This window comes from Homo sapiens, chromosome 3, assembly GCF_000001405.40.
Source record: "Homo sapiens chromosome 3, GRCh38.p14 Primary Assembly".
Classification (NCBI taxonomy): Eukaryota; Metazoa; Chordata; class Mammalia; order Primates; family Hominidae; genus Homo; species Homo sapiens.
In genome coordinates this window covers 35,290,019-35,315,407 of record NC_000003.12, presented here as the reverse complement: position 1 = coordinate 35,315,407, position 25,389 = coordinate 35,290,019, and the positions used below count along the sequence as shown (strand labels likewise).

The 25,389-nt window shown below is 35.0% G+C and overlaps 1 long non-coding RNA gene across 1 annotated transcript in view; it reads left to right on the top strand.

The window, feature by feature from the left end:
- LOC101928135 (uncharacterized) overlaps positions 1-25,389 on the top strand; it is a 518,229-nt gene that overhangs the window by 78,616 nt on the left and 414,224 nt on the right. Inside the window, exon 2 of the long non-coding RNA NR_110817.1 lies at positions 8,884-8,937. This is a non-coding gene — a long non-coding RNA (uncharacterized LOC101928135). The remainder of the gene's footprint in view (positions 1-8,883; positions 8,938-25,389) is intronic.

Here is a 25,389-nt window from a genome sequence, read left to right as displayed (position 1 = left end):
GGGCTGCTAGAGGATTCCTAAAAGTCTTCAACATTTTAATAATCTTCACTTTTTACCAAGCATACCACTCAATTTGCTTTTCAACAAATGCCTATATTGATATAAGGTTAAAAACAGTTTCATCATTCAATTTGTACTTTTTAAAATGTCAAGCATTTGAAAAGACCTGCTTTTCAGAATGACAGCTTTTGAAGAATGGCATTTTGTAATCATTTACAAAACGTGTGTGTGTATGCCTGTGTGTGTGGCAATTTCTGCAATGCCAAAGAAGGTTATCATTCATCAAATACATCATGTTCAACTTGTCTTTGTCAACCTAAAAGGAAGAAGCTGAGCCAAAATTAAAACAAAATATATGAGAGTTCATGTGGGCCAAGCATGAGGGGTGCAATCTGGGAGCATACATTCAAGTTGCTCTGAATATATAGTCTCATTAGCAGCAATTGTAAATGAATTTTTAAAGAGAAAGAAGAGGCAATTCCCTAAGTTATTTACTAAAAATTTCCATTAAAATGACATAAACTGTTGATTGGTTATACATTGTTTGTTTCACAAATTCCAGGAATGTGAAGATAATGGGTCAGGCCACTAGTCAGTAACAAATGACTCTAAACAATTGCTACCAGTCGTGAGTGGGTGGAGTGAGGGCATGACTAAAATCCCATACTTCTGTCATAGCATATGAAGTTTGATTTCACAGGATTTCCTCAGCTCTGAAATAGAGGTCACTAACTCTGTGATCAACTTTTATTTTCATATAACTTTAAAACTCTTTTTTTGCTGGGCTGAGATGATTAATGACACAAAAGTGGATTTTGAAGAAATAGCTACTTCTGTGTGTAAGTTTATGAGCATTTTATAATAATGGAAGGGGATCACTTCATAGCAAAATGGAGACTTGGTCCCACATTTACCTTCCTTGTCTTCCAATGCTATCTGAAATGACCCAACAAATAGAGCACAACAAATAAGCAAGAAGCTTTTTGGTATTTCTGGGAGGTATTGTGCAGTTGTGATAGGATGGACAGAGTTTGGAGCAGCAGCAATTTCACACCTGCAGAAGTAAAGCCCATCTGGGAAGCAGTGATAAGATGATAAGCAGAGCTACAGACCTGGGCAAACTCAAGTCAAGAGAGAAAGAGAACAAATCTGGGCTGTCAAAAGATATCATCATATTTTCCTATGCTATTCACCAATCCTTTCTTGACTTAATGATGGCCAAGGAAAAAGTAACTTCTTTTTTTTGTTGTTTTTTTCTCTTGAGATAGAGTCTCGCTCTGTTGCCAAGGCTGGAGTGCAATGGCTTGGCCTTGGCTCATTGCAACCTCTGCCTCTCAGGTTCAAGCAATTCTCCTGCCTCAGCCCCTGAGTAGCTGGGACTGCAGGCGCATGCCACCACACCCGGCTAATTTTTGTATTTTTAGTAGAGACAGGGTTTCACCATGTTGGCCAGGCTAGTCTTGACCTCCTGACCTCGTGATCCACCTGCCTTGGCATCCCAATGTGCTGGGATTACAGACATGAACCACCATGCCTGCCTGGCAAAAATAACTTCTAATGATGTCATGGGTGCATCACTAACTCTTTGATGCCAGAAAAACTGAATACAAGTGAAAGAGGTACAGAGAGCAAGAAAGTTACAGCCAATGTGTGGCTTACAGTTAGGACAGAGAAGGGGGCAGGTTCAGATCCACTTGATGTGGGTAGATTTTAACCCAACTTGTACTAGCAATAGCTGAGGAGCTGTTAGCTTTAGTAAACACATCCAGCTTCACTAACATGGGAGCCTGCTAGATAAAGCAAAAATATTCACATAGCTATTACAGAGAGAGGAAAGGCTGACCAGTTGGGGGAAAGACATGGCTGTTCACTTGGTGTTTGGTGAGAACAAGGAATGAAGTTGTTTCCTAAGAAATTATTTTGGCAATGGCTTCCTGCCTCTCACAAGCCACTAAATTTCTTAATATGCAAAATATAGCTATGAAGAAAAAAACACGTGAGAAAATGTCTAACATGGACAAAACAGAACTGCAATTTCCAATACTGTACAGCCAAATAATACTTCCTATAAGTTGCGAACAAAAATGAAAATACATGGCCAGATATAGGAAAATAGCTCTAAAGAAAAGAAAAAGTGGAAGAATCAGAGCATAGAATAAAAAGATATACTCTAATGAATTTTTAAAAGACAGTTTAATTCTTAGATTGACCATATTTAAAATAATATTGAACCATTTAACAAGTATAAATTCGGATCAGGACAAAATTAAATTTAAAAAGAGTATAGGTAAGTAATAAAAATGTTTCTGAATTGAAGAAAGAATAAAATTTTAAGATCTAAAAGGCATATCACATTCTAGCAACATTTGTGCACAATCAATACATAAACAAATGTTTAACAATTGAATTTTTAAAACAATGAAAAAGTTATTTAGGAAAAAGGAAGTCAAATGCAATTTGTAGTGGGATTGCGACTGGGGGAGCAGCCTGTGCAAATTTGGGCCGGCCTCAAATCCAATGTTAGGTGTAGCTGAGTGAGGCTCACCATATCCTAAGACACTGGTTTGATAACTAGTTGAACACTGAACCACCTGAGGAGTTATTGAGAAAACAAACACAAACAAAAATCAATTAGTGTGTGTTCCTCAGTTCCACAGATTCTGATTTAATTGTTCTGGGGTATAACCTGGGCTTTTAAAAGCTCCCTTGTTGATTCTAACATGTAGCTCAGTTTGAGAAACAGTTTCAAGGCGAACCATGTGAAAAGCATATTATAGATAGTTAAGTTGTAATTCACATATAAAATTGTCAGGTAATTTTCTTCAAATCGAAACAGCTCAAAACCACAGCAACAAGGTAAATTATGATACACACACACCCACACACATGCACACATACACATGCACAAATTAGAGTGGATGTCCACTCATCAAGTGTTGAGAGAAAAACACTTGGTAGACATGGCTGAGAATCACTGCAATACAATGTATAACAAGTAAGAAATCAATTCTGCAATATGTTGTTTAATATATCACAAATTATTATCTTTACAATATAAATTTGAACAATAATATAAAAACAACAACAAAAATTCTCAAAGTGGACAGGAGAAAGGAAAAAAAAGGTAATTGAGCTGGTTTTCATATCTTCCTTACCCAAAAGTTAATAGATAATATTTACACTGAATAAAAGAAAGAAACAGAGGTTTAGGTATATTATATAAACTAATAAGAGGAACCTACAGAAAACAGTAATAACAATAACAAAAAACTGAAAGTAAGACAATAACCACATAAGACCAATAAATTAAAAAAGGGAAAAGAGAGATTGATGTGGCTGTGCTAGTTTTCTCAGCTCTCCTAATGAAGACTATGTATCCTGTCTACTAAATCAGAGACTAGATGGTTAAAAACATTCCCATTAAAACAGCAACCATTACAAGTTCTAAAAGGAATCTTATGTTACAAATTAGCAGGAATAAAAATGTTTATTCAAACAAAAGCATACCACAAAACAACTGGAGAAAAAATTATATAGTAAAATGGCAGAGAGCAATGTAAACATAAAAGTGTTTTTAAAAGAAGAAATAAAGGCAGAATTAATTCAAAATATAAATATTATATTAATATAAATGGAAAATTTGTACTCATTAAAATAACAAAATTCTAATAGATGAAAATTTTAAACTAACCCCATATATTGAATAAATATATCTTAGAAATTTCAAGATTAAAAGAATAATTTTAATTTTTAAAAATTAATTTTAAAAAATGCTTGACATATTAAACAAGATAGTTGGTATATGATAAACAGTCAATTAAGTTTGTTTGGGGCATAAAATATCAAATAAAATAAAAATCGAGGCCAGGTGCAGTGGCTAATACCTATAATTCCGAGCACTTTGGGAGGCCAAGGCAGGTGGATCACCTGAGGTCAGAAGTTGGAGACCAGCCTGGTCAACATGGTGAAACCCCCTTCTCTACTAAAAATACAAAAATTTGCTGGGCATGGTGGCCTGCACCTGTAATCCCAGCTGCTCAGGAGGCGGAGACAGGAGAATTACTTGAACCTGGGAGCTGGAGGTTGCAGTGAGCTGAGATTATACCACAGCACTCCAGCCTGAGCAACAAGAGTGAAACTCTGTCTCAAAAACAAACAAACAAACAAAAAAACCAAACACACCAAAGAAGAAACAAAATAAAAATAGATAATGTAAAATGATAAAGGATAAAGGTAATATATACAACTTGGACCCATCTATCATCATCACAGTATGTATTGATTTAAATAAATAACTCAGATATCTCAGATATTGCAAGGATAAATTGACGGAAATACAATGGAAGCATCCACTCATAGCATATTATATGTATCATGAAAATAAGAAGTAGATTGTCTGAATACAATGACTAATAAGGTTGATTCGTGGATATATTTGAAAATGTTACACTTTAATAAAAGCTTTCTTTTTAGCTACTCACAAGGAATTTAAAAACTTATTCCTATAGAAAGCCTTAAAACAAACCTTAGTAATCCAGCCTAATGAAATGCAGTAAGAAAATAAATTGGCAACCCAAAAAGGACCAGCTATAAAACCATAAATATCTGTGAAGGTAAAAATGAAAACAAAAAATAAGTATGTTAACCTTAAATAATAAGATTCAGAAAATATGATTAAGTTTAGAGTTTATTGAAGGGCAAAGCTTGAGGGTGATCACCTGTGAAGCACCAACCTCAAATTGGGTCAGTGTTCCAAAATAAAGAAGTTAAGGTTTCACTTATATAGGCAGAGACAGATAAATTTTAGCAGGATTACAACATTTCCCACACAAGACCAGTGCATGTTACAGGAATTCTATTGGTTACACGTTGCTACATTCCAAGAAAGATAACTGTATTACTCTGTGAGGACAGTAGTGATCAGAAGGGGTATCATCTCTGGTACCATTTGGTCTTCCTAATTATTTGCAGCAACAAAAGGCAGAAGTTGCAGCTGCATGCCACCTGACTCAGGCCACATAGCCACATTTCTCACAAGGCTTCGAATAATTTAAAGTTTCAACAGCTTTACATCTGAAATATTTAATTTCAGAAGTGTATATCTTTTGCCAAAGATAAAAACAGAAACCACAGAAAGATATAATCATAACATGTTTGCTGTGTATATTGTCAGAAATGTGAATATTACAATCTTTTGACATATATGTATGTATGTATTTTTTATAAACAAGTTTTTAATATTAGCCTAGAAAAGAAAGCTGATCTTGGTTCCTGAGACTGAGATTTATAGCAACCAGTGATATTTAGGCAAAGCACTTCCAGTATCCCTTCCAGGGCTTCACTAAGTCTTTTCCGCACTTCTCAAAACTCCAAGTTTCACTGATTTTCAAATTCCTCCCCTTTGGACACTAGTTTTCTGCTGTTTTTCACACTCTGCTTTAATGTCACAGTGGTTTGCCTCACTTTTTTTCAAGTTCTGTTTCACCTTTTAAAGCACCAAGCTAAGAGTTTCTCTTCACTGCATACTTAAAAAATGGATAGTTTAGAATAATAGACAATTTCCATAAGTACCATTTAACCATATAGCACTTATAGTTACACAGTGTCTTATGGTTAAAAATAGGCATTATTAATAAATATTCCCTGGTCACATAAATTTACAAATTGAGCACGTCTTCCTGAGAAACCTGACAGAATCTGCAAATTGCATATAATTCCCGAGGACTACTTTATGTTGGGATAATATATGTGGTATTTTATTTTTATTTAACAGGTATACAATTAATGTTTTCACATATTAAAAATACTAACCATTGAAAGGGAAATAAAATTTTACTAAAGTCTTTCCTTTAACCCCATTCATTAGATAACAAAATACCGAAAATATGTCTGTATTTAGTTTTTCTTTGTTTAACATTTTAAGATTATGTTTAACATTTAAGATTAAGAAATGTTTAACATTTTAAGATTATATTATATATATATATAAGATGTATATATATATCTTCATTCCTGATTATTGTTTTCTAGACAAGCTTTACAATCTCCCTGCTTTAGAAAACATTCATATGTTACTACCCACCTTCCCATTTTCTCCCTTCTAACTTCTAATCCCAATATTGTTGGATATATTACTATTATTTTCAGAGATTGACACTTCTAGCATTAAATTCTAAATTTAATATTTATTTCTTGATTTATCAAGCTTTGAAAATACCTACTAATTTTGTGCTATAAAAGAGAATGGAATAAGGACTTTATTTCTTTCATCTCTCTTCCCCCTTCCTATTACTATAAATATTGTATTTTACATTTACAAGGTTTATAGAATATACATTCTATTTCATTAAATAGCATTGAATTATTTGTGGTTTGTCGGTACTTTGATTTTCAAAAAAGAAAGCAATAATAGTATTCATAATATTATGATTATGTACATGTACATCACATTCATACAATAATGAAATTGTGTAGTTGAAACCATGTAAAAGAAAATGCAGCCTCACATCTTACAAAATTTCGAATTGTATATGTATTTCAGTGTGTTAGAGTGTATGAATTGTATATGTATTTCAGCGTGTTAGAGTGTATGAATTGTATATGTATTTCAGCGTGTTAGAGTGTATGAATTGTATATGTATTTCAGCGTGTTAGAGTGTATGAATTGTATATGTATTTCAGCGTGTTAGAGTGTATGAATTGTATATGTATTTCAGTGTGTTAGAGTGTATGAATTGTATATGTATTTCAGTGTGTTAGAGTGTATGAACTGTATATGTATTTCAGTGTGTTAGATTACACTTTATTTTTTGCTAGCATTCCCATTCTGCATTATGCTCAATTGTCATTGTTTATTTTAGCTCATGTTACCCCTGAGTTAAATTACTTTTAATTTCATTGAAATTACATCCTGATGAATATGTTTTTAAAATGTACTTGGCCAGGCATGGTGGCTCAAGCTTATAATCCTAACACTTTGGGAGGCCCATGTGGGCAGATCATGAGGTCAGGAGATCGAGACCATCCTGGCTAACACGGTAAAACCCATCTCTACTAAAAATACAGAAATTAGCCAGGCGTGGTGGCATGGGCCTGTAATTCCAGCTACTTGAGAGGCTGAGGCAGGAGAATTGCTTGAACCTGGGAAGTGGAGGTTGCAGTGAGCCAAGATCACACCACTGCACTCCAGCCTGGGCAACAGAGCGAGACTCCTGCTCAAAACAAACCAAAACAAAAAAATGTACTTAGAGAATAATGAATGTTGTAACCTTTTTCATAAATAAAACATCTTTATTTTGCCCTCATATTGGATTGGGGATGAAACTCTAGGTTTAAAGGTGATTTTTTTTCCCCCTCAGAATTGAGGACTTTTAAAATTATTTTCTGTATTCAATGTTGTTAAGACAGTGTATGGCTGTTTCTATAACGTTTTCTGTGTAAATAACTTTCTGTTCTTATTTAAAAGCTTTTAGAATTTTCTTTTTATCTTTGAGGAAATGGAAATTCAATATGTGTACATATGGATAATACTTCATTAGTCCTGCTTTCCATTCAACATGCCACCTCAATTAAATAACTGTTTCTTCATTTCCAAACACTTATTTTCTATTTTTTTATTATTTCTTCTCCTCATTTATTTTTGCTCCTCTCCATTTAGAATTTCCATTAGATGGATGATGGATTACTTAGATATTTCCCTTCGTACCTCTAAATTTCTGTTGCAAGTGATCTAGTTAGAAAATGTCAGATAAAACCCATATAGTTACAAAACCATTTTATTTTCCATTGGAATACAGTAAAGCATAATTTCCCAGCACCCGTTTCATGTAGTTAAGATCCATATGGCCAGTTCTGGCCAAAAGTAAGCTAACTGGGGCATGTGTGTCCCTTTCAGTACAAGTTGGTGTAAGTAGGTAGTGGTCTATCTCATTTGTCTTTTCCTTTCATATTTGAAGGCTGACAGATGCCAGTGCACCTTGGAAGCCAAAAGATGTTGAATGAAAGATGAAAAACGATTTGATTTCTGATTCAGTGCTTAAAGAAGAGCTTTCCAGAAGTGCTCACTGACTTTTAGCAAGGGATGAATTTTAGGCAAAGTGGTTTTATATAGCAGCTAGTTTAAATTACCTTAGCAAGTACTTCTTGCCTCAGTAATCTGGATTCTGGGAATATGACTGAATTTATATTCCAGATAAATAATTCAGATGTCCACTCTAAAAATGTATTTATGCAACCCATGTGTTAATTATCTTAAATGATTTTGGCAACTATAATACTAGTTTTAAAAATGTTTTCCTTATTTTCTATTTGCTATTTTTCATTTCACTATTCCTACTTTTTATGTCTGCAATATCTCCTAGCATCTATCAAGTTAAGATTTTGTTCCTTGAATTATTTTATTGTTTTATTTAGCATTTATGATTCTGTTTATTCATCCTGGTCCCTCTCTCTTATTTATGTTCTTCTCTATGATTTCAATTTTTAAGTATAAAAATACCCCATTCCTGAGACATATTGAAATACAGATTAACTTAGATTAGATTAAAATGATTGAGGAAAAATACCCAATTGTTTGGCATGAACTCTTCTCTGTCAGATTTCCCTTACTCTTTACATTTGTTAACATCAACTTTTTTCTTTTTTTTTACATTTGATCATTCGATATTTGTTGAATATTTTTGTCTTTGTATTTGTTGATTCAGCTCTGAACATTTGTGGACTCAGCTCGTAAATATTATGTCTGGGCTGAAATTCAATGTGATTTTCCTTTAAAGTTAATCTTGTCGACTATTTACCTTTTAACTATTTGAAAACTTGAATTGCACTCCTTTCTGTTTATAATTGTTTTTGTTTCATACTTAAAATAACTTTTTGCCATTACAGTGCAATTTGAGGAAAACAAGAAGGCAGATGTTTTGCCATTGAGCCAGAATTAAGGTAAGAAATGTGAGGCAGCATTTTGCATGATTAGAGTTGGACCCTATATTTATTTTAAAATATGATATTTTGTACAATATGAATTTTGCATTATTTTTGATAATTTAAAATATTGCAATAAGGAATTGTATTAAGATATTAATCAGCTTGATTAATAAGATTTTACTACTTTCTTAAATTCTATGCATGATATACATATCTCATTTGCTTGAGCCTGGTTCTGGTCCTGATGTGCTATCATGAATCATACAGTAAGAGAATATTCAATAAAAAACAAAAGACAGCAGAATGTATATTTCAGTGAGTGGGAGGTAGATTGTAGAGATTCTGTTTTGCAATTGTTAACAAAAACCCTATATTTGCTACCAGAATGTGTGGCCTAGAGAACAGAGATTACCTTTGCATTTCTGCAAATAAAATTCCCATAAGTAAGAATAAGCAAGTTGGTCAGAATTTACTATTATAGCTACAATGTGAAAGATAGATTAAAATATTAAAGGGTTTAAACTCAATGACATTGCATGTGAAGATAAGCTTAATATTCTCAAGTCGATCTAATATTCCTCAATGTTTATTAAGAGCACACACATGTTTAATTAGTGCCTCAAAGATTCAGAGAACTAGAATGTCCAAGGGCCTCAGAAAATCCTCAAGTTTAAGTTAGAATTATGTAGAAGCGGAGACAAGTTATTCAGGGCACCTGGATACGAGTTTATGCACAATTTATCCAACTGTCTTTAAAACTTTTCACTTAATGAGGCATATTATAGGGAAAAAAATGACCAGGAAATGTATGATATATTTGGAGAAGGTAGCAATCCAATTTATAAATTCCCATCTTCCAACCATCTGGAGGTGCCAGATTGGCAGAGTTTCTCGTCAGCATTCTGTATATTATGCATGCTTCACAAAGCAAGAAAGGGAATCACTCAGCATTCTCAAATTCTCAAAGGATTCCTTTAAAAGGTTGATAACCAGTCTGCAATATATTTTTTAAAATAGCTATTTGTTATTATGCTTTCTTTAAGAGAAGAACTGGGATTCACATTAAAAATTGCATTCCCTATAGATAATACCAAAGATTCAAGGATGAGGGATAACCCATTGGGTGTGAGGGTGAATTTTCTTTATCTCTACTAACTCTTTGTCACCTGGGGCTGAGGTTAATTATAGTGATAATATGACAGTCTAGCAAAATCCACAGATTTGGGAAATGCACATAAATTGGTAAGTTTACTATTTCTGGGTTAAAGCATGAGCAACACAATGAAACCTGTACTTGAGGCAGAGTGGGGAAGAAATGAAATAATGATCAATTTTAAGCATCTATTTTACTTTTCTAATAGTTTTCTTGAAATATACATGGGAAGATTTCTTTTCCATTAATTATGTATGCCTTTGATGGATCTAGATTCTCCTTAACCCAATGGAAGCTACAATCTTCTGTGAAATTATTCTTCTATTTACATTATAGATCAAAATATGTCTGAAACAAAAACTTATAATAGAAGTCATAAAAACATTGGATGATGGATTCTACTTATTCCCAATTAAATAAAAAATGGGAATGCAACATATGAATTAAAGAGTATTTTTTTAGAGTGAAATACCACCTTAGGACTTTCTAAGCCAAGAAGGAACAAGATACAGCTAAATATTTGCTGATAACAATATTCAACTCTGAGATTTTCCATAGAAGCCCAATTCTGGATTTTTAACAATGGCAAAAAACAAACTATTTATTAGTCTAATGGGAGTGAATCTGAAATGAAAAGTAAGAAGCTCAAAGCCGAAGATGTAATAATTCTTTTTTTTTTAGGTTTTTATTTTATTTTATTTCATTTTATTTTATTATTATTACACTTTAAGTTTTAGGGTACATGTGCACAATGTGCAGGTTAGTTACATATGTATACATGTGCCATGCTGGTGTGCTGCACCCATTAACTCATCATTTAGCATTAGGTATATCTCCTAATGCTATCCCTCCCCTCTCTCCCCACCCCACAACAGTCCCCAGAGTGTGATGTTCCCCTTCCTGTGTCCATGTGTTCTCATTGTTCAATTCCCACCTATGAGTGAGAACATGCACTGTTTTGTTTTTTGTCCTTGCGATAGTTTACTGAGAATGATGATTTCCACTTTCATCCATGTCCATACAGAGGACATGAACTCATCATTTTTTATGGCTGCATAGTATTCCATGGTGTATATGTGCCACATTTTCTTAATCCAGTCTATCATTGTTGGACATTTGGGTTGGTTCCAAGTCTTTGCTATTGTGAATAGTGCCACAATAAACATATGTGTGCATGTGTCTTTATAGCAGCATGATTTATAGTCCTTTGGGTATATACCCAGTAATGGGATGGCTGGGTCAAATGGTATTTCTAGTTGTAGATCCCTGAGGAATCGCCACACTGACTTCCACAATGGTTGAACTAGTTTACAGACCCACCAACAGTGTAAAAGTGTTCCTATCTCTCCACATCCTCTCCAGCACCTGTTGTTTCCTGACTTTTTAATGATTGCCATTCTAACTGGTGTGAGATGGTGATGTAATAATTCTTAAGAAAGTCAGATCCATTAAGAATTCCCATGTCATGGAAAATAAACTCTCCTAATACTTTTAGGATTTATCAGGACAATTAAGCTGAATGAAAGGACTATGACTTTAAATGTCGAAAGAAGAAAATGAAGCTTGAGATCTGCTTTAGAAAGGAAAAAATAACAAAAAATAATAAGGCTCTGATTCTGAGTAACAAGCTGTGTATAACTTCAAAATACTAAACTGATAACCAAGAAAACCAAGAGCAGTAGAAAGATGGTTTCTGCCTTTAACATTCAAAGTTAGTTCTGTTTTGTTTTAGTGTTGAAAGACTCAATTTACGTTGAATAGAAATTTCAATTGAGAACTGTTTTTGAATATTCTGTATATATTAAAGAAATGACTCAGGCTGGTTTTAATATTTCCAAAGCTTGAAGCAGAAGACTTACTCTGAATCCTGCAAGTAAAGCTGGGAAACCTGTCTTTACAGGTGCTCTGCTGTATGATCCCAGAAGAGATGGAGGAGTGGATTATTAGGGAAATGAGCTAAATTAAAGCTTGGCATCATTGCTAAATTCACCCAAGTCCAAGTAATATTTAGGTTGAAAGCCAAATGAAAGCATGGGTTAATTGAAGCAACAGAGAAATTTAACATGAACTAAATTAATCTAAAGCAGGATGTAAAGTATAGATTTATGTATATTTTGTCAGAAGCATACAGATATTGTTATTCTTTTTTAAATGCTCTCATAATACCTGGTCGAGGAAATGCAGTTACCTATACAAAGGAAGGTATATGAAATTTTATGTCAAAACAGGAGAGTGCCTTCCCTTCTCCACTCTCCAAAGCATAGTATCTAGTCCGTCACTCTTCTTTTTTGTAAACATTTCATGCCTAATGACTTTCACTTCCCTTCATTGGAGTCATGATATTTTCAGGACACATCCCCCTGGAGCTAAGAATCATATATTTCTCCTAACATGATTGTGCATGGAATCAGGAGTCAGAGATTGCATGATTGATGTTAGAGTACCTCTCCTTTTATGGAAGACCGTCTTTCAGAAAGTTTGTATCAGCTTGCTCTGTGTGTGTGTGTGTGTGTGTGTGTGTGTGTGTGTGTGTGTGTGATTTATGCTTCTCTGGTTCCCCTGTGATAATAAGACCCAGGAGAACAAATGTATATACTATTTATCTTTTTTATCACCAGCATCACCAACCAAAGTACTTTTCATATGATGGCCATTTATAAATGTTTATTGGACTAAAAAAATGATGAGTACTTACTAACTAATAAGATAAAAGAAGAAAAGAAAGGTTTTAAGAATCTAATTATTTAACAAATCAAATGGATATACAATAAGTATAGGAGAGGAAAGAGTCCACATTTATCATTAAAAATTTAAGTTTATATTTTGGGTGATAAAGTCTGCTGAGCTAGACAGTCTAATCGAAGTCTGTAATATTTCCATTCTTCATTATATTTAAGTAGAAAGGGATACTTGACAAAATAAAGCCAAATAACTTCACTACTCAGATATAGAAGCATGGGAAGGGAAGAAGAAAACTTACAAGAAAAATCAGGCTAAAGGAGAATAAGTTGCAAGTGTTTCTATACCTCATGAAAGGAGAGATAGCAGTTGTCTTCAGCAGTTAATAACATGAGGAGATATTTTTATTCATGTGTTTATTGAAGAAGTTTTCTGTGTTGAATGCCTATAATGTGACATGCTAATTTTCAGGGATTTTCCTTGCAGAGCTCACAGTCAGGTCAAGGCATGAAAATAATAAACAGCTAGTCTAGTGTCATGTGACAAGTACCATAAAGGTGGATACAGTGAAGTAAACCCGGAGCAGAACAGCTGACTTGTTGGAGAGAGAGTCTTAAGTGAGATGTGAAGAGAGTATATCTTACCAGATGAAGAGGGCAGGGGCCAAGGATAATAGCAAGAGTAGAGATAGTGTCTTGTGGTACACATTGTTTAATTAATTCATTGCTTGATTGTGGTCCTATGATCACATTTTCCAAAATAATTTGTTTCCATAGACTGGCGGTAATATCTAGGGTCTCTGAGGAAGGAGTCTGATGTGAAGCAACCTTATAAACTGCTTGGTTTTGGTTTATCAGCAATTTGCTATAATGCAGATTGTTTCCTATCCCTCTGAGCCTTTGCACATGGGCTTTATTCTCTATTTTGTAAATGTACGATAATATTGAAGGCAAGTGCGTTTTCATAACAACCACTTTAGAATACCGTGGTTAAGAGTACAGGCTTTGAATACAGAGAGACTTCAGACAGATTTCTGCCACCAATATGCAGAATTTGGTAGTGATCTAGAGTTAAATTTCCTAATCAGAAAAGATGCACAATATATGATTTATAGAGCTGTTGTGAAGGTTAATTATTATGTGAACATTGTTATTAGGTTTATTCAAATCATAAGAATGTTTCTACTTGATAGAAAATATTAAACCATAGCATAACTGGCAAATATTTTCTAAAGATACTGGACATAAAATGTTAGACAAGGAAAATTACTGCAAAAGTGTCTATTTTCAAAAAAAATTAACACCTTTAGCTTGGTGATAAATTATTACCAACTAGAAGGCCAAGTTAACTGTTATGCAGTTAGGGTGATATTCTTCTTCACTCAAGGATTTAAAACCCTTAATTATAACCCTTCCGGATAACAGAAAGATGCTCATCTTACAAAACTGATTTGGGACTTCTTTGACAGGGTACATGATGATATATTTAAGTTGTGAATAATGAAAGCAGATATCATTACATTACCCTTATGGGTAAATTAGGGAGTCAAAAATAAGTTTAAGAAGGATGTGGAGGAACTGGGAAAAACAAAATCCAAATAGTAAGCAAAGTAGAAGTGGAGAAGTTGGGAGCAATATGGCCAAGATAGGAAGCCTCTAGGAATGAGAGTCTACTGAATTCAAGACTATGCTATGTAGAGCCTCAATAAGGGAAGGAGAGGTGAAATAAATCAGGAGTGTGAAATTAAGAGATGATGACAAGCAGGACAATTTTACTTGGCTACATATTAGAAACAACCAACAGTGGGGTGGGGCTCCTAGAATGGAGGCATGAGGAACTCGGCAGGCCCTTGCCCTAGTATAACAGTGATTTAATTGGTGGAAATCATAAAAAAAAATCATTTAAAATTTCTGAACATTGTCCTAGAAGTACACAGTAAACAGAGAAACAATTACCCAAGAAAATTGACTAAATGTCAGTAAGAACTCTAGAAATCTGTAGTATTTGGGCCACAACACACTCCATTCCCCTGACTCCCATCTTTCTCCTGCTCTTCTGTGGGCTCCCTCAAAGTACATTGAAACCTTACATATTTTTTCTCTCTCCATTTCTTGTTTTCCTTCAATGCCTAATGCAGTGTTAAGCCCTTGTTATACATAACTAAATTTGTTGAACAAAAAATAAGTATAAGAATGACTACTTGGTTGGGAAGCCGCCTGACATTTCCATGGGTTACTTTAACACAGGCCTTAAGTTTTTTGATAAGCACATGGAACAGTAACCTCAAATAATATTGCTCAAAAGTGAAGAAAATAGAATTCCCAATGCCATTTTTTACTTAACTTCTGCTTCACTGACAGTTATTTAATAGAAAAATATGTAAATTGGGCTTCACAGATATTGAAAACTTTTGTGTATCAAAGTACACTATTAAGAAAGTATGAAGTCACATAAGTTTATAGCACACAATTGACAATTGCAAAGATGTGGAACCAACCTAAGTGCCCATTGACTAATGAGTGGATGAAGAAAATGTGATATATATACACCACGGAATACTACTCAGCCATTAAAATGAACAAAATAATGTATTTTTCATCAACTTGGATGGAGCTGGAGGCCATTATTCTAGGCAAAGTAACACAGGAATGGAAAACCAAAAACTGTATGTCCTCACTTACAAGTCAGAGCTAAGCTATGAGTAAGCAAAGGCATACAGAGTGATATAATGGACTTTAGAAACTCAGAAACGGGAGGGTGGTGGGGGGCTAGGGATAAAAAACTACACATTACGTACAATGTACACTACTCGGTACACTAAAGCCTCAGAATGCATCACTGTATAATTCATCCATGTAAGAAAAAACAATTTGTATCCCAAAAGCTGTTGAAATAATTTTTTAAAAAAAGAATATGTGAAAAGACTACCTACAGAAGGGGAGAAAATATTTGAAAATCGTATATGTGACAAGGGGTTAGTATCAAAAACACAGAAGGAACTCCTGCAAGTCAACAACAAATCTACAGCCTGATTTTAAAATGGTGAAATAACTTAAATAGACATTTTTCCAGAGTATATGCAAATGAACAATAAGCACAGAAGAAAATACTTAGCATTACCAATTGTCAGAGAAATGCAAATCAAAACCACGATATACTTTTTCAAATCTATAAGGATAATCTAAAAAAATAATAATAGCAAGAAATGTTGGCAAGGATATGGAGAAATTGGAACCTTCACAAATTGCTGGTGGAAAAGTCAAACGATGCAACCACCATGGAAGTTAGTGTGGCACTTCCTCAAAAAACTAAACATGCAATTGCCATATGAACCAGCAATTCCATTCCTGGGTATATAACCAAAGACATAGAAAGCAGGGATTTCAACAGATATTTAGACATCAATATTCATTGCAGCATTATTACAGTAGCTAAAGGTGGAAACAACTCAAATGACCATTAGCAGATGAATGGATAAACAAAATGTACAATATGAATATAACGGAATATGACTCTGCCTTAAAAAGATAAGAAACTCTGATATATGCTGCAACATGGAAGGACCTTGAAAACATTCTGCTACAAAAAATAAGCCAGACACAAAAGAAAAACATTATATGATTCCACTTATATGAAATAGTTAATAGGTAAATTGATACAGACAGAAAGTAGATTAGAGGCTACCAGGGTAACCTGAGGGGAGAGAGAATGCAGAATTTTTTCATAATGGTTACAGAGTTTCTACATGATGTGATGAAAAGTTTTAGAAATAGAAATGGCCAGGAGTGCTGGTTCACACCTGTAATCCCAGCACTTTGACAGGCCAAGGTGGGCAGATCACTTGAGATCAGGAGTTCAAGATCAGCCTGACCAACATGGCGAAACCCCATCTCTACTAAAAATACAAAAATTAGCCAACTGCAGTGGTGCGTGCCTGTAGTCTCAACTACTGGGAGGTTGAGGCATGAGAATCGCTTGAACCTGGGAGGCAGAGGTTGCAGTGAGCCGAGATTGTGCCACTGTACTCCAGACTGAGCACAGGGTGAGCCTCTGTCTCAAAAAAAAAAAAAAAAAAAAAAAAAAAGTTAGAAGTGATGATTGCACAACATTGTGAATATAATTAATACCTTTGAATTGCACACTTAAAAATGGTTAGAATTGCAAGTTTTGTTACATATATTTTAGCACCATGTAAAATTATAGTGATGTAATATGCCAAAAAGCATTTCATTCTACACTGTAAATGTATGAATTATATGATAGGTGTATTACATTTCAATAATTTTTTTTTCAAAAAGTGATTTAAAAGCAGCCATGGGACAATACACAAAGAATTTATCATTGTGAAAGCCCTTTCACAAGGATGAAAAAACATTAGTTCATGGGATTTTAAGAATAGAGTCATTCTATGATCTTTGAAAAAAATGAATCCTATTTAAGGCTGTCTTCTTCATGATAACCATTTCTAGTTACCGGGATCATTTAATTTAGATGAATGTGGCCTGGTTGCAGACATACATTGCTCAATTTTTCACTATATTTCCTCCTGTGTTTTTTCCCTTTTTGTCCTTGGATTATGCATTACTTGGTAGTTCTTTGCACACAGGATTGAGGAATTGAGAAAAGACATAAATGGCCAGATTCAGACTTCTGCTTCATATAGTTCAGACTGAGAATCCTGTCTTGTGCTCAGTAATGACAAGATGTCCTCCTTGGACTGGGCTGTGTCCCAGTGAAAATGATGTAAAAGTCTAGTCCCAGTTAGTCTTGTTTTGAGCAGGTTCTATAAAACAAACAGGCTATTAATCAATTCTGAAGTTATTAAAACCAGTAATTGTGCTAAGAGGCACAAGTGTGCTTACTGGTCATGACACTTTTTCTCATTAATATTTACCACTGGAAGCAGAAGTGTTAGAGGAATGAAGGCATTAGGAGTGAAAGTATTATTTCACGTCAGAGATTGCACAAATTACCAAATTTCTAAGTGGCAGAAATCTCTTTTGCCTGTAATACCTCATGGCCTGATTGTCATTTTGAATAAATATACGCAGATCAAGTTTCCAGAGACTATTTTTATAACACAAATTATAAATTTGTATCCCCCCCCAGCAATACAAATTAAACAGTCCCTCTAACAATGTCCTACAAAGGAAATTATTTTTAAAGTCCAAAAGGTTAGCATTATTGACAAAATAGAACCAAAAACTTCTGTTGTATTTTTAACGTGCATCAACACCCTTCTAATCAATATGTGGTTATTACTTAAAAATATAAAATAAATGGTTGTAAATACTTTTTGGCTGGGCATGGTGGCTCACGCCTATAATCCAAGCAATTTTGGAGGCTGAGGCAGGCAGATCACTTGAGGTCAGGAGTTCAAGACCAGCCTGGCCAACATGGTGAAACCCATCTCTACTGAAAATACAAAAATTAGCTGGGTGTGGTGGCACATGTCTGTAATCCCAGCTAGTCAGCAGGCTGAGGCAGGAGAATCGCTCAAACCCAGGAAGTGGAGGTTGCAGTGAGCTGAGACTGTGCCACTGCACTCTAGCCTTGGCAACAGAGTGAGTGAGACTCCAACTCAAAAAATAATTATTATTATTTTTTTACAATTTTGACATCAAATAACTTGCCTTGAATTATACTATCAAAAATTGTATAAATACAAAACATAAATTTTCAAATACTAATTTCATTGCATCAGAATGCATATAAATTGATTATTATTTCTACAACTTCTTTAACTAGCCCAGTGCAGAGACGTGCACATTGAGAGAAGACAACACTGTAGTTGCTTTCAGACAAGCCCACATGAAGAAACAGTTCTTCGTTGATATGGCTCACCGCAACAGTCACCAGTTCTCACAATAGGGTCAACCACAAAAAAGAAAGTGTGAACCTCTTTCTCTTGTGGGAACAGAGTGGGATGAAAGTGGCTGTGCAAACAGGATTTTAGAAAGGAGAGAACAACCAGATGTCACAAAGACTGAGACTGAAACAGGCCCACTTGCAATAACAGAAAAAGTGATGTAACTGAACGTAGCAGCACCAGCTGTGGTAGATTGCATGGGTCAGAGGCACACTGTCAGGAGAGCCTTGATCAGACCACATCTGGTGGTGCAGAACCAGCATTTAAACAGGGCAGAAAGAGAAGAAAAAGAACATGTAATTTTGTGGGAATGGTAAGGGAGACAGTGGAATTCTACTGAATATGAGATTTATATTTTAGGATAGTCTATGCTTAAAAATTTTTTTTAGACAACTGCATGGCACCTATCTTAGTATTTTGTAAAAATAAACAATTTTCTTGATATGGGTCTAGAATGATGGTTCACCACTGTGGGTGATTTTGCCCCTACCCAGGGAATATTCAGCAATGTCTAGAGATATCTTTGATGGTCATAACTAGGAAGGGGTCTTATTTACTACTGGTATCTTGTATAGAGGTCAGAGGTGCTGCTAAATATTCTATTACACACAGGACAGCTCCTCACAACAATGAGTTATTTTGCTCAAAATGTCAGTAGTGCTGGGGTTGAGAAAGACTGATTTAGGGTCACGTGATCAAAGGTTCGAGATCATCTTGTCTGATTAAACAGATGAGGAAATAGAATCAAAGAGGGTGGGTGACTGATGCAAGGACTCACAGCTTGGCAAAGTGGTAATTAAATATGATATTCCTAGACAGTTCCAAGATGACAAGAGTCACAGAATAACTAATTTTGATGGCAATGAAGATGCCAGGATCAAAAGAACCTGAGCATAAGAACTTTTTGGTAATGGGGAAAGTGGGAAAAAAAGGGAACTCTGCCTTAGTTATCTAAATTCCTAGGATAGTGCAGAAATCGAATACAAACGGGACTACTCCAAGCTGCAAAGCATGGCCCTGTCATCATTTATTATTATCAGCAATACCTGCCCAGTGAGATCAGGCCTCAGGGGAATGCCAGTAAGCGACTCCCAGAAATGTGAGAAAAGAAGTATAGGGCTCAAGACCAACTAATGTATGTTCAAAGCCATTCTAAAGACAAATTTCCTCAAATACCACATTCTTGCTTATGGGTTATTCTTTGAAAAAGAACAATTAAGCTATAGTCTCATTTTAGTAAAATGCCAATTTCTTATTGAGTCTGAAGTAAACAGAATCTTGCTGTTTTCAGAAAGGAAATAATATACTCTTTTCTTCCTCCTTTGAATCAAATATCTTTGCCAGAAAAATTACTAACTGCTTCTCTGGATTAAAAAAATTATCATATTATGTTGACTCACTTCTATCTTCTTTCAAGTTAAATATGAACAGACACCTGCCTTTGCAGAATTTACAGTGCATTTGTAGTAGTTTAGTTTTCAGAATCTCCCTTGGTCTTGTCTCATTTCCCCTGATACTACTGTGACTGAAGTTATCTCTCCCTTCAGTTAGTTTAAATTCTATTAAATCTGATCTTTTTCAATTAGTTCCACTTGTACACTCACAGAAGCATTCCTCAAGGAAACTGTGAAATAGGAAGTTTATGGTGGGTAAGAAGAAAAAAAATCAAGTGGTAAAAAAATTGGCATTTTGGAAAAAACAATATATTTTGTGATTATTTTTCTCCCATGATAGTTTGAATTAAAAAGATAATAATTCAGGATGAGTTTCTATCTAATGTGGGAGGAAAAGTATGTCATCAAAAAGTATATGTTTGTCTTTGGAGACCACCTCAATGATAAAATAAAGATAAAAAATCTAGGTTGTTTTATCGTCACTTGAAACATTCCAAATAAGATAATTTTGATCATTTTTGGTGCCCAGATCTTTTTTAATTTCATTCTCAATGTTCTCACTTATTTATTTTTGTATCAACTGAAATTATTCTCCATCTTTGCGTTTACCTCTTTGAAATATATGTTTACAGTCCTGACCCTCCATTAGGCATTGCCTAACAGAATGATGAAGTACATGTTCTCATTTAATCTTGCCCTGTAGATCAGGCCCTTCAGGCTTTGAATTATTTTCTTAATCTTCTGAGCACTCAGTTGAAAAAGCTTCATTTCTGTAGTAGTTCACCCCAGGTGCTTTGGAAAATACAAACATCAGGCATAGTGCCTAATCTAGAGGGACTTACATTATCCATAATACTTTAAATATATATGATACCATACAATTAAGATTTCCTTATTTACTTATCTGATACTATCATCAACCCAGTAAGACAAGTAGACCGAGAATTTTATCAATACCAAAGCACACAGCTACTAAGCTACTAAAACCATGTATTTTGACTCAAAGTTTAGCCAATCCTTTCTTCTTAAGTATAGGATCTTTAAATCTATCTCCTCCCCATACACACTTTTTTTTTTTTTGTAATTGCCTTCCAGTTGGTAGATGCGTTCAACATAGTAGTAAAGGAATATTTCCTTTTTGGCACATTTCCAAGTGCAAGGCTTAGATATTTTTTCATAATACTGCTCCATGTCTCAATAGGGTTAGCACATCCATGAACATATGTGCATCCAAGACTAGAAATTGTCTTCCTCAGGTAGAAACAAATTGCCATATATGTTAATATATGAATTCTACCTTACCTCATAGTCTTCTAATATTTCTATTTTCACTTTTCTGTTTCTTATATCAGCTTGTGTAACCTGAGACAACTCCTCTAAGGATTTTATTATGACAGTCTTTGAGTCTCTTTCTGTCTCTCTTTTTTTTCTCTCTCTTACTACACACACACACACACACACACACACACACACACACACATATATATATATATATATATATTTTTTTTTTTTTTTTTGAGATGGAGACTTGCTCTGTCGCCCAGGCTGGAGTGCAGTGGCACGATCTTGGCTCACTGCAACCTCTGCCTCCCGGGTTCAAGTGATTCTCCTGCCTCAGCCTCCCAAGTAGCTGGGACTACAGGCTCCTGACACCATGCCCGGCTAATTTTTGTATTTTTAGTAGAGACGGGGTTTCATCATGTTGTCTAGGAAGGTCTTGAACTCTTGACCTAGTGATCTGCCTGCCTCAGCCTCCCAAAGTGCTGGGATTACAGGCGTGAGCCACCATGCCTGGCTTTGAGTCTATATTTTTAAAATATGGCTCTGAAATGTAAACATAGGATAGTTAAAAATTAGTATTCTTATGATCAACAATATAGATTCAATGACTTTATGCTAGGATTAGGTTACTGGAGTCCTAAACTATCATGATAAGAAATGGATAAATCCTAAGCCTCTTGATGTTTCCTACTTTGTCTGTAACTAGTTTTACCTTTAACTAGTCGGGCAAAACTTTCCTTCAACCTTAGAGAGCACTTTAATCCTAAATACATTTACCTTGACCACACTTATTTCAACTGTTTATTCATCTATATACCCATTGATTAGATATTGTGATTCCTTTTTATGGGATTGAAGTCTGTGTTAGGTGCTAGGTGTATGGAAATTAATAAAACACAAGAAGATGAGGACAAAAAAAACCTTGAGGCCACATTGAATATTAGGTCAGGATTGGAAAGGATCTCTCTTTATAGCAGCCCGAAGTGACCAATCCTCAGAAAGTAGAGCCAAAGAAGGTGTGTCTAGGTAGTTCGCTTTAGGAAGAAACTCAGGGGAACAGGAGTGGAAAAAGGACAACAATGGAAAATGAAAAAAGAAAACAAATACAAGGGTACATTGTCAAGCTTGCCACTGCTCTGGCAACAGGGGCAAAATTCTACTTGATTCTTTGATGCAGTCAAGTCTAACTTAATTCAGAATTTTCTGCTCAAGGAATGGTTCTAGGTCCCACGCCACGATGATCAGAGTTGCCACATGAAGTATTAAATCCCTCATCCTCCCATATTTGTGTATGAGTGATTGCCAGGGTGTTCTTTCAGATCTCTGGTTGTGGTCTTCAAGAACTCCTATAGAAGAAATGTATACACTGAACAGCTGAGCAATGTGGTTAGGTTACTCCTGAACCCAGCTGCCTGCTGGGCAATGAATAGGGTACAGGAGGATTGAGAGAATGTGAGGCGTAACACAGGAGGTAAAGGATATTGTGTCAAATAATAGGGAAGCTCAAAGTAGAGAAACTTAGCTGGATCAGCTTAGTGGGGACCTTATGGAGGAAACTCAAGTATTAAATGGGCAGTTGAACTATATGGCTTACATGATCCCTTAAACACTTGAGTTTATAAATACCAATACATATCACTATCTAATCCTAAATTCCAAACTCATACTGTTTCATAATGCCAGGTTGTTTCTTTTTCACTGTTACAGATAGCTCCTGCCTCTTCAGTGTCTGCTTTCATCCTGTGACTTTTCCATGACAAGCATTCTCAATTAAGCCCTTTAGAAGCATTTTGCAGATCAGCATTATAGAAGGTGCCCAGATCTAAGACAGTTTTTTACTGTTAATTGAAATTTGACCATGAATAAAATATGTAACCTCCCTGAGCCCTGGGTTCCATATATGAAAATGCACACTTATATTGCAATGTTTTAAATGGTTAAAACAGCCTAACATGCAGTAGACACTCTAAATAGCAGTTTTATTATCTCTTTACCTGAGGTTGTCAATTCCAAGGACAAGATTTGGCAGCATTCCTGCAACACAAAAATGTTATCACTAGGAGTCACTGGCATGTCATAGATCTGGGTTTCCTCCAAGGTAAGCAGTGAGTTGTGGAACTGAAGGGGATGTGTAGATTCCATAGTTGTCTCTACCACCCTCTTACTACCTTATCTCTTCTCTGCCATCATTAAGATGAAAATATGATTGGGCCAAAGCCTAATCTTTATCATTTACTAATGATCTTCATTAATATGCTGTTATTTCTGCCTTTTCTGATCGTTTTCATTTAAAAAATATGTTGGTGGTAGCAAGGCAATCTGGACCAACCGTGTAATTGACATTTTGAGTCATTGGGTAAAATATTTTACCAGTGTGCTGTGCTAGGCTCTAAGTCTGTGTTGAGGCCATGCTAAAATATCTGGCCAAAACAGTAAACTAGGTGAACAATGTAGATAAATGACATCATGGGGACAACATTTCCAGATAATCTACTGAATCACTGAGTGACATGATTGACGTTTTGGTTTTCTATAGACACGGAGTCTTGTTTTGTATCTTCACTGTTGCAATAACAGAGGAGAAATCCATTTCTTTTTTGGAAGACTGTTATTACTTCAGTGGAAAAAAAATCAATCATTCACAGTCAGAAAACCTGGAGTCTTCACCTACAAAATTCTAACCACAGTCCAATCACTACAACTCTCTAAGACTCAGTTTTCTCGTTTGTTTTAACAAGATAGGAATAATACATTTTTTTACTACATTGCTAGCTCCTAGCATTGGTGTAAGGATCAAGTGGAGTAAAGTAATAAAAAGTATTGTGTAAACAGGCAAATTTCTTTAACAAGTCATTTTGTTTTCTCGTACATAATTGTTTTGTCTTTATTCTTTATTGGACTTTTGAGGATTTGGATGGTGTCCTATTTATCTTTGAAATCCAGTTGCCTAAGTATAATGGTTGTCACATAGAATATACTTATTTTCAATTAAAAACATGCTTCTAAGTGAATGAGTTTGCTTTCTTAATTTTATATACATTTTAAGTTTTCAATGACCCACAGGAGCATGGCAAGTGCCCTGAGTTGTACTTCTTTCACACCCATGGAAAAAAGAGCCCATTAAGGATAAATGCATCATCTATGATCATAATTGAAAGTGGTACAGCAACTACTGCAGCCTGGATTCTCCACCTGTGCCTACTTTTTATGCGTAACATTTAACTTTTCTTATTCACAAAAATGGCATAGTTGGATATCTTTATTGCATACTTTTTGAAAGAATTTTTGATGTTAATTAAGAATTTCTCTCAGATCACAATACATACCATCAGAACTGCATATTTTTATTATGCCCTAAATATTTCCTCCTCACCCCTAGACACCGATAGGAATATGTGCTTTTTCCCGGTACTTCAAATGCAATATGCTGTGTTAAAATTAAACTAAAAATAAATTTTGGCTTTTTTGTGCTGATTTTGTCTCTTAGATCCAACCTGTTTATGTCTCTTCCTTTTATCATACACTTGGCAGCCATGACTGTTCTGGTACCTTAAGCTTGCCCACAAAAGCAAATCTCTTTTCTACTGCTACAGGGAGCCTGCTCCTTTGCCTGGTCAGTTCTCATCATGTGGCCTAGAAACCTCACTATTGTATTTTGTTTCTTTTTAATCATCACCAATTTTACCAAATGAATGTTGTTAGTAGGCCAAATGTGGCCACTCATGCCTGTAATGCCAGCACTTTGGGAGGCCAAGGTGGGTAGATCACCTGAGGAGTTCGACACTAGTCTGGCCAACATGATGAAACCCCATCTCTACTAAAAATACAAAAAATTAGCTGAGCAGGTGGTGGGCACCTGTAATCCTAGCTACTCGGGAGGCTGCAATTGAAACTGGGAGGTGGAGGTTGCAGTGAGCTGAGACCGTGATATTGCACTCCAGCCTGGGCGATGAGTGAAACTCCATCTCATAAAAAAAAAAAAAAAAAAAAAAAAAAAAAGAAAGAAAGAAAGAAAGAAAGTTGTTAGTATAGTTTTACTATTTGCTGATATCTTTACTCCAATCTGTGATTTCTTGAAACGTAGGTACCAT